Source organism: Homo sapiens, chromosome 2, assembly GCF_000001405.40.
Source record: "Homo sapiens chromosome 2, GRCh38.p14 Primary Assembly".
Taxonomy (NCBI): Eukaryota; Metazoa; Chordata; class Mammalia; order Primates; family Hominidae; genus Homo; species Homo sapiens.
The window spans coordinates 9591198-9605688 of record NC_000002.12 but is presented as its reverse complement, the minus strand read 5'-3'; the positions used below and the strand labels follow the sequence as shown (position 1 = coordinate 9605688).

The following is a 14491-nucleotide window of genomic DNA, read 5'->3' as shown; positions in this document are numbered from 1 at the left end:
CTGGGGAGGCTGAGGTGGGAGAATTGCCTGAACCCGGGAAGCAGAGGTTGCAGTGAGCCGAGATCGCACCACTGCACTCCAGCATGGGCGATGCATTGAGACCCTGTCTCAGAAACAAAACAACAACAACAAAAAGAATGTACAAGAAACTAGTAAATGATGGCTGCCTTGGGCAGGGGACAAGAATTGGACATATCAAGTGAGGATTTTTTTAAAAAAGTATTCCCTGAAGGAGCTTAGAAACAGAGCAGAGGCTGGGGTGTGGTGGCCTCATGCCTGTAATCCCAGCACTTTGAGAGGCTGACGTGGGAGGATCACTTGAGCTCAGTAGTTACCAGCCTGGGTAAAATGGCAAAACCCCATCTCTACAAAAAAATACAAAAATTAGCCAGATGTGGTGGTATGCGCCTGTGGTCCCAGCTACTTGGGAGGCTGAGGTGGGAGGATTACTCGAGCCTAGAAGTTGCTGCTGCAGTGAGCTGAGATGATGCCACTGTATTCTAGCATGAGCAACAGAGTGAGACCCTGTCTCAAAAAAAAAAAAAAAAGAGAGAACAGAATGGGGAAACTATCATTTTTTCTTAGGAATTTTTGAGTAGTCTTAACCTATTACACATTATGACTTTGATCAAAATAAATAAAATAATTCACATATCATTTCAAAGTAGTATTCTGTATGAAATTCCACTTCTGTTGCATCCATTTCAACATGTTGCCAGGCCATGGCTGATGTTCATTTGACAAATAATGAGTCCTACTATGTGATAGACACTGTGCTACATTTTGTGAATGAAAAATAACTGAGAAAACATTTTTATTGAGTTCATCTGCTTAAGAGTTTGCCGTTTTGGTTTAGTGCTTCAGAATTACTGTAGATTCTTAAAACTGGAGAATTTTTTTTTATTATAACCATCGCTCTGTATCTGAGGGGAATTGGTTTCAGCACCTCCTTGAATACTGAAATCCACACATACGCAAGTTCCTTCTTCAGCCCTCTGGAACCTGTGGGTTCAAAAAGCCGGCCCTCCTTACATGCAGGTTTTGCGTCTCCTTAATACTGTGTTTGTGATCCATGTTTGGTTGTGGTTGTAGAACCTGCTGATAGGGAGGCCTGACTGGAAAAAATCCGTAGAAAAGTGGACCCATAAAGTTCAAACCTGTGTTCAAGGGTCAAATGTGTTTTGTAGAAGAGGAGATGAAACTGAGGAACTTGATCTAAACTCATACTCTAAAACCAAATTACTGGCCCAGTGCTTATTCCACTGAGTCAGTCAAATATAATTCATAGTGAATACTGTGAAATATTGGTGTCTTTAGTTCTCTTTGTGATTGAAATTTCTTTCTTTTATAAAGAAAGTCACCTTCAGTGACTTTCTACATCTTAGTGCAGATAAACCTTTTCAAATGCCAGTCTTCGCCTTGGAATACCTTTTCCCCCCGTATTTTCTGTCTCTCGTTTGTTACCTTAAGAAAAATTCTTCTAACTCCATAATTAAATAATTATTTTTTATTTTGAGCTCCCATAGCACTTGTATATACCCGTTCTCTCAGTGTTTCTGCTCAGGTGGGGAGCGTAGCACTGACTTTGGACAGAGGTCAGTGGTGCTACACATCCTTTAACACATAGGAGCCCAGGCCTGTGTAAGGAATTGTCCAGCTGTTCTTTCAGTTAGGTAAAAAACTTAGAGGAGCTATCTGAGGCCAAAGCCTAATTTGGCTTTACATTTAAAGACAAAGTTTTAGTTTATGGGTTTTGTTGTTGTTGAGATGGAGTGTCACTCTGTCGTCCAGGCTGGAGTGCAGTGGCGTGATCTCAGCTCACTGTGACCTCCTCCTCCTGGGTTAAAGAGATTCCCTTGCCTCAGCCTCCCAAGTAGCTGGGATTACAGGTGTACACCACCACGCCCAGCTAGTTTTTTAGTATTTTTAATAGAGGGGAGTTTCACCATGCTAGCCAGGCTGCTCTCGAACTCCTGACCGCGAATGATCCATCTGCCTCAGCCTCCCGAAGTGTTGGGATTACCAGGTGTGAGCCACCATGCCTGGCCTATTTTATGGTTTTAATAACATACAGAATTAACCAGGAATGCATCTACTGTGTAAAAATCAAGGAAAGCCAGGCATGGTGGCTCATGCCCGTAATCACAGCACTTTGGGAGGCTGAGGCAGGAGGATCATCTGAGGTCAGGAGTTTGAGACCAGCCTGGCCAACATGGAGAAACCCCGTCTCTTCTAAAAAAAAATTAGAAAAATTAGCCAGGCATGATTATGCGTGCCTGTAATCCCAGTTACTCGGGAGGCTGAGGCTCAAGAATTGCTTGAACCTGGGAAGTTGGGGTTGCAGTGAGCTGAGATCGTGTCACTGCACTTCAGCCCGGGCAACAGAGCGAGACTCCAGCTCAAAAAAAAAAAAAAAAATTCAAGGGAGAATTGTACTTTGTTTTGCTTGTAACTTGACTGGTCAGGCCATTCATGATATTTGAACAGATTGTAAGTCTGTATTTGAAGGTTGTTTGTTGTTGTTGATTCTTAGAGGCAGATATCTGACTACGTTGTGTTTATACTTTAGCTATATGAATGTTTACCTATTGAAAATACTGTTTTATTAAAAATTACTTTGTTCCTTATACCTTAGGAGATAAATGTACATTTTAAAAGTGTTCCTCAGTCAGGTGAGGTGGCTTATGCCTGTAAGTTCAACACTTGGGGAGGCCGAAGCAGGAGGATCACTTGAGGCCAGAAGTTCAAGACCAGCCTAGGCAACATAGCAAGACTGTGTCCCTACTATATATATATATATATATATATATATATATATATATATATTTTTTTTTTTTTTTTTTTTTTTTTTTTTTTTTTAAATTAGGCATGGTGGTTCACACCTGTAATCCCAGCATTTTGGGAGGCTGAGGCAGGAGGACCACTTGAGCCTAGGAGTTACCAGTCTGTGCAAGATGATGAGACCCTGTCTCTCCAAAATATAAAAACAATTAGCTGGGCGTGGTAGCCTGTGCCTATAGTAGGGCTAAGGTGGGAGGATCCCTTGAGTCCAGGAGTTCAAGGATGCAGTAAGCTGTGATCACTGCACTGCACTCCGTTCCAGGCTGGGGGAGACAGCTGGGTGGTGGGACTCACCTGTACTCCTAGCTACTCAGGAGTAGCTGTTTAAAAAAAAAATGTGCGTAGGTGTATTATTAGCTACTAGTTTCATTTTAACTTAGTTAAGGAGGCATAAAATGTTATTAAAGGACTTATTTTTATTTATTTATTTATTGAGACAGGGTCTTGCTCTGTCACCCAGGCTGGAGTGCAGTGGTGTGATCATAGGTCACTGCAGCCTTGAACATCTGGGTACAAACAACCCTCCTAAGTAGCTGGGACTTACAGGCATGAGGCACCATGCCTGGCTAATTTTTTAATTTTTGGTAGAGACAAGATCATGCTTAGCTGCCCAGACTAATCTGGAACTCCTGGCTACAAGTGATCCTCATTCCTTGGCCTCCCAAAGTGCCGGAATTTTAGGCATGAGCCACCACACCTGGCCAGGAGTTATTATATTAAAGGATAAGTGAATAGAGGAGGAGGGAAAGGATATTTACAAATTAAAAGCTCTAATGTATCATTACTAAAGTTGCTTTATTTTTTGGCATTACTGAGGTTAATATTATGGTTCGTTGTCTGAATTAGTATCTGTTCATTTGATATATAGACAACTTTTTGTTTTTATTAATCTTAAGAACCAGCCAGGCATGGTGGCTCATGCCTGTAATCCCAGCACTTTGGGAGGCCGAGGCAGGCAAATCATCTGAGGTCAGGAGATCGAGACCACCCTGGCCAACACAGCAAAACCCCGTCTGCTAAAAATACAAAAAGAAATTAGCCGAGCAAGGTGGTGAGTACCTGTAATCCCAGCTACACAGGAGGCTGAGGCCGGAGAATCGCTTGAACCCGGGAGGCAGAGGTTGCAATGAGCTAAGATCACACCACTGCACTCCAACCTGGGTGACAGAGTGAGATTCTGTCTCAAAAAAAAAAAAACAATCTTAAGAACTGCTCTTAGTTATGGATGGCATCACGTGTGTGGTTCTCAGTGTATGCCTAAGGAAGTTTTATTACCTTTTATATGAACGTTAAATGGTACACCAGGATGATTCATTTTTTACCTTTTAAGTATTGAAGTAATAATTTTGAATTATAATATTTTTTGTTTGTTTGTTTTTTTGAGGTGGAGTTTCACTCTTGTTGTCCAGGCTGGAATGCAGTGGTGCAATTCTGGCTCACTGCTCACTGCAACCTCTGCCTCCTGGGTTCAAGCAGTTCTGCCTCAGCCTCCCGAGTAGCTGGGATTACAGGCGTGCGCCACCACACCCAGCTAATTTTTGTATTATTAGTAGAGACGGGGTTTCACCATGTTGGCCAGGCTGGTCTCAAACCCTTGACTTCAGGTGATCCACCCACCATGGCTTCCCAAAGTGCTGGGATTACAGGCTTGAGCCACCATGACCGGCCTGAATTATAATATTAATGTCTTATCTACAGGATGACCACACAATGTCTTCCAAAGTGGGATATTTCTAAGAATGAAAATAAATAGCATTAATAATTGCAGATTTGGTTGTAGACCACCACAATTGAGTGAATTATCTCAATAAAGCAAGTCACAGAAATTTTTGGTTCCCTACAGTGTATAAAAGTCATGCTTACACTATACTGTAGTCTGTTAAGTGCACAATAGCATTTTGTCTAAAAACCAGCGTATGTACCTTAAATAGAAAATACTTAATTGCCAAGAAATCGATCATCTAAGCCTTTAGAAGTCCTTATCTTTTTGCTGGTGGAGGGTCTTGCCTCCATGTTGATGGTTGCTGACTGGTTGGGGGTGGCCGTGGCAATTGCTTAAAATAAGACAACAGTGAAGTTTGCTGCATCAGTTTGTGCTTCCTTTCACAAAAGATTTTTCTTTTTTCTTTTTTCTTTTTTTTTGAGACAGAGTTTCGCTCTTGTTGCCCAGGCTGGAGTGCAATGGCGCGACCTCGGCTCACCACAACCTCTGCCTCCCGGGTTCAATCAATTCTCCTTCTTTAGCCTCCCAAGTAGCTGGGATTACAGGCATGCACCACCACACCCAACTAATTTTGTATTTTTAGTAGAGATGGGGTTTCTCCATGTTGGTCAGGCTGGTCTTGAACTCCTGACCTCAGGTGATCTGCCCGCTTGGGCCTCTCAAGTGCTGGGATTATAGGCATGAGTCACCACACCCGGCCCTCAAACGATTTTTCTATAGCATGTGATGCTGTTTGATGCCATCTCAGCTAGAATAGAATTTCTTTCAAAATCAGAGGCAATCCTCTCAAACCCTGCCACTGCTCTATCAACTAAGTTTATGCAGTGTTTTCAGTCCTTTGTTGTCATTTCAACGGTGTTAATGGCATCTTCACCAGAAGTAGATCCTTCTCAAGAAACCACTTTCTTTGCTCATCCATGAGAAGCAAGTTCTCATCTGTTCAAGTTTTAACATGAGTTTGCAGCAATTCAGTCACATCTTCAGGCTCCATTTCTAATTCTAGTATTTCTCTTCCTGTTTCTACCACATCTGCAGGTGGAAGATTTCCACTGAAATCTTAAAAGTCCTCAAAGTCATTCATGAGAGTAGAAATCAGCTTCTTCCAAACTGTTGTTAATGTTAATATTTTGACTTCTTCCCATGAATCACAAATCTTCTTAATGGCATCTAGAATGGTGAATCCTTTCTAGGTGGTTTTCAATTTATTTTCCCAGATCTGTCAGAAGAACCACTGTCTATGACAGCTATGGCCTTACGAAATGTATTTCTTAAATAATTCCACTTGAAAGTTGAAATTACTCCTTGATCTATGGGCTGCAGAATGGATGTTGTTTTATGTGAGCAGGCATGAAAACAGCATTAATCTTGTACATCTCCCTCAGAGCTCTTTGGTAAACAGGTGCTGCATTGTCAATGAGCAATTATAATTTGAAAGGAATCTTTTTTTTCTGAGCAGTAGGTCTCAACAATGGACTTAAAATATTCAGTGAAGCATTTTGTAAACAGATGCCGTCATCCAGGCTTGGTTGGTTGTTCCATTTGTAGAGTGCAGGCAGAGTAGATTTAGCATAATTCTTAAGGACCCTAGGATTTTTGGAATGCTAAATGAGCATTGGCTTCATCTTAAAGTCACCAGCTGCAATTAGCTCTGAAGAGTCAGCCTTCCTTTAAAGCCAGATACTGACCTCCTATGAAAGTACTTGATGGCATCTTCTGGTATGAGGCTGTTTCCTCTACATTGGAAATATGGTATTTTGTGTAGCCATCTTCATTCATCAGTGATATTAGCTAGATCTTCTGGATAACTTACTGCAGCTCTACATTCGCACTTGTACCTTCAGCTTGTACTTTTATGTTCTGGAGGTGACTTCTTTCGGTCAACCTCATGAATCAACCTCTCCTAGCTTCAAATTTTTCTTATGCAGCTTCCTTACTTCTCTCAGCCTTCACTGAATTGAAGAGAATTAAGGCCTTGCTCTGGATTAGGCTTTGATTTAAAGGAATGTTGTGGCTGGCCTCAGCTTCTATTCAGACCACATAAAGTTTTCTCCATATCATCAATAAGTCTGTTTTGCTTTCTTATCATTTGTGTGTTCACTGGGGTAGCACTTTTAATTTCCTTCAAGAGCTCTTTCTTTGCACTTACGACATTGCTGTTTGGTACAAGAGGCCCAGCTTTAGCTTGTCTTGGCTTTCGACATGCCTTCCTCACTAAGTTTAATTATTTCTAGCTTTTGTAAGTAAGAGACATGTAACTCATCTTTTCACTTGAACACTTAATTAAAGGCCATTGTAGGGTTATTAATTGGTCTAATTTTAATATTTTTGTGTCTCAGGGAATAGGTAAGCCAGAGGAGACAGAAGAGATTGGGAGCACCCCATTGTTGGAGCAGTCAGAACAGACACAGCATATATCGATTAAGTTTACCATCTTGTGTGGGCATGCATTCTGGTACCCCAAAACAATTACAGTAGTAACGTTAATGACCACCGATCACAGATTGCCATAGCAGATAAAATAATCATAAAAAGTTTGAAATATTGGGAGAATTACCAAAATGTGCCACAGAGACATGAAGTTGAGCACACGCTGGTGGAAATTGGCTCTGATAGACATGCTTGATTCAGTGTTGCTACAAACCTTCAATTGGTTAAAACAACAAAAACACACCACAGTATCTGCAAAAGAGCAGTAGAGCAAAAGACAATAAAATGAGATCTGTCTGCTAGGACAGTGGGCTTAAACTGGAATGGTCCTGGGCAGCCAGGTCACATGGTCACTTTACTACTCCAGTATACCTCATTGTTAAAATGTGGTTGTAGAGGTTTGGAATTTGGTATAGGATTAAATGAAAAGTTTTAACCTTGTGGATACAAGGATGTAAGGATCTGATTAGGCTTTGCAACTTGAGTTTGACTGATGTCTTCTGTGTGGTGTCCGCTAAATCCCACAGCATATAGGATCAGTCGCATTGGTTATAAGGTTTGCTTCTGGCTGGGTGCGGTGGCTCATGCCTGTAATCCCAACATTGGGAGGCCAAGGCAGGCGGACCACCTGAAGTCGGGAGTTTGAGACCAGCCTGACCAACATGGAGAAACCTTGTCTCTACTAAAAAAAAAAAAAAAAAAAAAAAAAAAATAGCCCGGCATGGTGGTGCATGCCTGTAGTCCCAGTTACTCGGGAGGCTGAGGCAGGAGAATTGCTTGAACCTGGGAGGCAGAGGTTGCGGTGAGCCGAGATCATGCCATTGCACTCCAGCCTGGGCGAGATCGCACCATTGCACTCCAGCCTGGGCAACAAGAGTGAAACTCTGTCTCAATAAAAAAAAAAAAAAGGTTTGCTTCTATCTCTGAAAATTTTTACTTCATTCCATACTTCATTTTTTTGAAAATGAACTTAACATGGGCACCAGAATGGGGTTGATTCATCATTCTTGGATTCTAAGTCTTAACAATTTTTTTTTCTTTTTCTTTTTTTTTTTTTTTTTTTGAGACGGAGTTTCGCTCTTTTGCCCAGGCAGGTGATCTTGTCTCACTGCAACCCTCTGCCTTTCAGTTTCAAGCGATTCTCCTGCCTCAGCCTCCCGAGTAGCTGGGATTACAGGTGCCTGCCACCACGCCTGGCTAATTTTTGTATTTTTAGTAGCGACGGGGTTTCACCGTGTTGGCCAGGGTGGTCTCGAACTCCTGACCTCGTGATCCGCCCACCCCGGCCTCCCAAAGTGCTGGCATTATAGGCGTGAGCCACTGTGTCTGCCCCAACAATTCTTAGAGTAACATTTAAAAATAACACAAGGACACTTGACTGTTTAATGCATTCATTTTATTAATGATCGAAAATATTTCCATAGATGAATTGATGTTATATGATCAACTTGGATTAAGTCTTAGGTGATTCACTGCCTCCTTGGTTAAGGCAACAAATCCTTTATGAGATTTAATTCTAACAGGTATAGTCATAAAATGGTAGTTTCTGAGACCAGAGACCTTTAGATCATAATAGTCTCATCACATAGTTACAGAGACAGACACTTGAGAAGGTGTGATTTCCTACAAGATTATAGAGCTAACGATAGTATAAAAGTTCCACAAATTACAATCTAATTTCTAAAACTCATATATTCTGACACATAACACAGAGTTACTCTGTCCCTTTTTTGTTTTACTGATTAAATCTCTAAGCTGGGCACCGTGGCTCAGGCCTGTAATCCTAGCACTTTGGGAGACTGAAGAGGGCGGATCCCTTGAGGTCAGGAGTTCGAGACCAGCCATGGTGAAACCCTATCCCAGTTACTTGGGGAGGCTGAGGCCAAAGAATCGCTTGAACCGGGAGGCGAAGGATGCAGGTGAGCTGAGATTGAGCCACTGCGCTTCAGTCTGGGTTGGCAGAGTGAGACTCGGTCTCAAGGGGGAAAAAAAAAATCTCTAGCTTAGATTTGGCTTTATCTTTCTTAGAAATGCTCCATTTTAGGGTCTATTAATATGCTGGTTAACTGATAATATAGAAATAATGACTGATATGTGTATCCTAAAGTTAGAGATTCAGCATGTTAATAGTGTGTTTGCTAATGAACCTCAGTAAACTATTAGGAAAATGAAACTTCTTAGAACATTTTTTTGCTTCCTGTTATTTTGCGTGTATTTTAAGGCTTTTCATAACAGTTACCTACTCTTTCTTCAATAGAGTAGCTTATTTACTCTGTAAAATGGAAATCGCTTATAAATGAATTTAGAATTAAAAGATTAATTTGTTGAGTGTTACAGAATTTTGCCACTGAAACCAAATAAATTATTTTGAAAAAGTGGTTGAAGTGACGGTAGGATTGTTTTATACAATAGTTAACTCTTGAAGATCGTATGGGGGTTTTGTTGTTCTTCTGGAAGCCTTTTTTTCCTAAGATATGGGGGTGGGGGAAAGGAGGAATAGTTACTGTTCTAAATTTGCATTAATATTATTTCTCAACAGTTTCATTTCTTATATTATTCTTTATAGCTTTTGTGTTATAGTCTATTGTTCCCATCCTATTTTTCTAAGATTAAACTTATTCTGAGTTCCTTTAGCATTTCCTAAAGCAACCTCTATAATAACTTACATTCTTTCCTTTCACTTTCCTTGTTTCTTTGGTCTAGAGTGTTCCAAATTACTAGTTCATCTTTTATTGTGGGTAGTACATTGACCTCTTAGTTTTCAAATTCTCAAAAAGGAACACACTACCATCCACATTTTACCCTCAGTCAAGTAACACTGTCAGCACCAGAGGGACCTTCAGTCTTAGCCCACCAAAACTCCCAAGATAATAAAATTTGCTAACGAGTTTACAAGGGGGAGCTCCTGCTTAATTGATAAGAATAACGTACAGAAGAAATCAGTGGGGGAACATCTAACTATACTCCCGTCTGGTGACTTTTTTTTTTTTTTTTTTTTTGAGATGGAATTTTGCTCTTGTTGCCCAGGCTGGAGTGCAATATCTCAGCTCACTGGAACTTCTGCCTCCTGGGTTCAAGCAGTTCTCCTGTGTCAGCCTCCCAAATAGCTGGGATTACAGGCATGTGTCACCATACCCGGCTAATTTTGTATTTTTAGTAGAAATGGGGTTTCACCGTGGTGGTCAGGCTGGTCTTGAACTCCTGACCTCAAGTGATCCACCCATCTCGGCCTCCCAAAGTGCTGGGATAACAGGCATGAGTCACGGCACCTGGCCCTCGCTCCTGACTTCTGGGAAAGACTTTCAGGGAGTTATGTGTCAGTTTGGGGTTTTTGGTCTCTGATCCGTGTTTTTTACAATAATTTTAAAATATTATACATTTATAGGCTATATTCTATCTGGCATTAATAATATTTGGTATTGATAATACAGATACAGACTTGATTATTTGGGAAAGACATGAAGCAGACTCCATTATGTCTTTTAGTTGAGCTAAAGTATACATCTTTACTACTGATAGTATATGGAAAGACGGAACTATTCTGTACCTGTTGTTTCCTTCACAGAGAGCTAGTGGCATCTGACAAAGAACCATGATACCTGGCTGAAACTCCAGGATGGAAGTAATGCCCAAGTCACTTTGTAAAAGCCCAACACTGTAAATCATACGTAATGGTTATATGCAAACTAGTAGTCAAAGTTAATAATTTTAGAAAGAAGAGGTTAGCTCATAAGTGGCTGTGTTGTAATGAATGCAGTAGCTGTTTGGCAGCTTTCTGAATCCTTGGAAGGCCCTTTGTCCACAGTCCTTGAGAACACCCACACATCTAGCATGAGTGACTCAGGAGAGACTAGTGCTAGAATGGAAATTTCTCTCTTCCCTACTCCTCACCCTAAGCCATTGTTCTAGTCAGACTTTTCTCAGCCCCTGCTCTTACAAATCTACCACAGTTAACAGAGCACTAGGTCTTAAAGGTACTGAGTAGCTTTTTTTGTGACCATAAATAATATCTTCACCAGAGCTGGCATCTTTTTGGAGATCCTGTGGAATTTCATTGTAACTGACTGACTCACTTGGAGGAACAAGAAAAGTGAGAGGCATCTTACTTTACATTAGAGTTCCTTGGTGTGGGTACAGGCAGAGGTGGTATTTCTCTCGGTATAAATACTATGTTTGCCTTCTTTGATACTACTTCTCAGAATCCACTCATTTAAAGATACCAATGACTGAGTCAGTTTGAGATCTAGAACTTTTTTTGTGACTATCTCACTATTGCCTCCTACCCTCCTCCTTCCACCACAACCCTAAATTCAGTTCATAAAAATAGTTTTTAAATTGAAAGTCATCCATAATACATGAAAATGGTAATAGAGGAAAAAGTTAAAGTAATATAATTTTTTAAGATTCGAGTGTCTCAGTTTATTAAAAAACTATTAAAATTATATTGGTGATGTTGAGCACAATAAATTCTGAAAAACTGATTTGTCTGTTGTTTTTACAGTTAAGAGTGTAGTGATACTGGAGCAGCACTTGTCACAGTTGCCTTTAATTTGGGTGTGGCCCTAATGACCTCTTTTGCCACACTCCTGGCTCAGCAACTTTCCAACTTGAGCCACAATTTTGATACTCATGACTTCTATAATGCATAAACTTCTGAGACTTCGATACATAATTTTATACTAATTTTTTGTGCGTGCGTGTGTGTGTGTGTGTGTGTGTGTTTTAACTTCCTCTGGCCTCAGGCCCTTAAAAAAGTGTGTGTGTGTGTGTGTGTATATATATATATATATATTTTTTTTAATCTATTTAAAATATTTTTTCAATTAAAGGATTTTTAATGTTTTTCTGGTTTTTTTCTTTTAGAGACAGACAGGATCTCTTTTGCTCTGTCTCCCAGGCTGGAATGCAGTGGCACGATCATGGCTCACTGCAGCCTCCACCCCCGGGGTTTAAGCCTTCCTTCTGCCTCAGCCTTCCAAGTAGCTGGGATTACAGGTGTATGCCACCACACCTAATTTTTTTAAAATTCTTTGTAGAGACAGGGTCCCATTATGTTGCCCAGGCTGGTCTCAAACTCCTGGGCTCTCAGGCAATCCTCTTGCCTCTGCCTCTACTTCCCAGAGTGCTTGGATGGTAGGTGTGAGCTGTTGTACGCAGCCTCTGTTTATTTTCTTTAAAAATAACTTATGGGCCAGGCGCAGTGGCTCACGCCTGTAATCCCAGTACTTTGGGAGGCCGAGGTGGGCAGATCACTTGAGGTCAGGAGTTTGAGACCAGCCTGGTCAACATGGTGAAACCCTGTCTCTACTAAAAATACAAAAGTAAGCTGGGCGTGGTGGTGTGCGCCTGTAGTCCCAGCTGCTCGGGAGGCTGAGGCAGGAGAATCATTTGAGAATCACCACTGCACTCTAGCCTGGGCAACAGAGTGAGACTTTGTCTCAAAAAAAAAAAAAAAAAAAAAGACATGGATGCAGTGATTGCATTTTGTTAGACCACTTTTAGTCAGATAAACAAGAAGAAAGTTCTTGGTTAGAATTGTATATTTTTAAATTTATAAACAGCCTTCCTTTTCTTTAGCAGTTATGTGAATTTGACTCAACCTTACTTGTTAATTCTCCAGACTTGCCAACTTGGTATCATGGATGGTATTTTATATAATATTAACTGAGCGTATCTGTGGTTATTTTTCCAAAATGTAAAAAGGATCTTCTCTCTTCCCTGCTTTAAAACGTTCACTAGTTTCACTTTTCCTAGAGCAGTGCTTTTCAAACTGTGTACCTAGGCTGATACTAGCTAACATTTACTGAGTACTTAACATGTGACACTATTCCAGGCTTTGACATCTGTTACTGGTTTTATTCTCAAAACAAACCAATGAAGTAGGTATTAGTATCTTAACATTTTTATGAGAATTTCATTTTGCTTTGTAATATTTAATACAAAAAAGCTTTTTTTGTTTTTGTTTTTGTTTTTTGAGATGGAGTCCACACTGTCACCCGGGCTGCAGTGCAGTAGCATGATCTCGGCTCACTGCAACCTCCACCTCCCAGGTTCAAGCAATTCTCCTGCCTCAGCCTCCTGAGTAGCTGGGATTACAGGTGCCCACCATCACGCTTGGCTAATTTTTTGTATTTTTAGTAGAGACGGGGTTTCATTATGTTGGCCAGGCTGGTCTCGAACTCCTGACCTTGTTATCTGCCCGCCTTGGCATCCTAAAGTGCTGGGATTACAGCCGTGAGCCACCGCGCCCGGCCCTAAAAAGGTTTTTAAATGGATGACCTAGCATCAAGAAAAATGGAATCTAAGAAGATTTCTATCATATTTGTCTTTTGTGACTTTTTATACTCCAAGGCATAGCATACCATGTACTAGAAGTGAAAATTTCTTTGTATGAAATTAGGGACAAAAGACATACTCAAGAACTTTTTTAAAAAAATAATTAGATTTCGTAGACCTAAAATTATTCTTTTAAATTGCTGTGCAAGTTTCTAAACCTCTTACTCTCGATTCCTGTATTTACCTCATTTTAGATGGATACTTGAATGCAAAGGGCACTGAGTAGCACTATTCTCCCTCGTACTTGATGTTTTAAACATTTTGTTTCCCGTCCCTAAAATGAGTGCACATCCCTGTTTTCTGTTTGGTGCATTTCTACTTTTCCTTCTTCATGCCTCAAATACTCTTTCCCTGGGAAGCCTGTCTTAACTGGAGGCCATCTCCAGCAGAGCTACTCCATCTGTGTGCTTCCTTAGCACCGTATTCACATCTTTCTTAGTTCTTGGTATGTAGTTGGTGTACTTACAGACGGTGAGCTTCTTGAGGGCAGGGGCCTGATTTTAAGTCTTCTCTATATCCGTTATAGCACCTAGCAGGTATGAGTAAATGTTGAATGAATGGATGAGTGAACAGATAGGCTGTTTCAAATTACAATGTTTGGTGTAATCTAGAATCTAGCCTTACCATTAGAAACTATAGGCTACATCATTTAAAGCCTCCCAGGGCAACTAGTGGCAACAACCTAACCCCTGCTCTAAGAACATGCTTCAAGTCCAGGCTGGTATGGTATAGTATTACTGTAGTAGTAAATGATTGAAATGCCCGCTAGGCAGAAGTTTTATCATTTAATGATAATGCACAGTAGGCAGAAGTTTAGTGCCTAATGTTCTGTCTTATTTATTTCAGGAATTGTTGGATAAATATTTAATAGCCAATGCAACTAATCCAGAGAGTAAGGTCTTCTATCTGAAAATGAAGGGTGATTACTTCCGGTACCTTGCTGAAGTTGCGTGTGGTGATGATCGAAAACGTAAGTTTATTTGTTATATGGGCAAAAGTAGAATATAAAAAAAAGAAATGGGGATAAATGGGACACTATGACAGTATACGTAGTCTTCAGGCTCTTTGTGACTTAATAATTGAATGTATGTCAAGAAAATTAGTATTACCTTATGTTCTCAAAAATGAAAATTGGATTATAAATTTACATCACATGCTCTTTAA

At 40.5% G+C, this 14491-nt stretch overlaps 1 protein-coding gene across 1 annotated transcript in view; it reads left to right on the top strand.

The window, feature by feature from the left end:
- YWHAQ (tyrosine 3-monooxygenase/tryptophan 5-monooxygenase activation protein theta) overlaps window positions 1–14491 on the top strand; it is a 47031-nt gene that overhangs the window by 25309 nt on the left and 7231 nt on the right. Inside the window, exon 3 of the mRNA NM_006826.4 lies at window positions 14174–14297. Within this exon, the coding sequence (NP_006817.1) occupies window positions 14174–14297 (124 nt within the window). The remainder of the gene's footprint in view (window positions 1–14173; window positions 14298–14491) is intronic.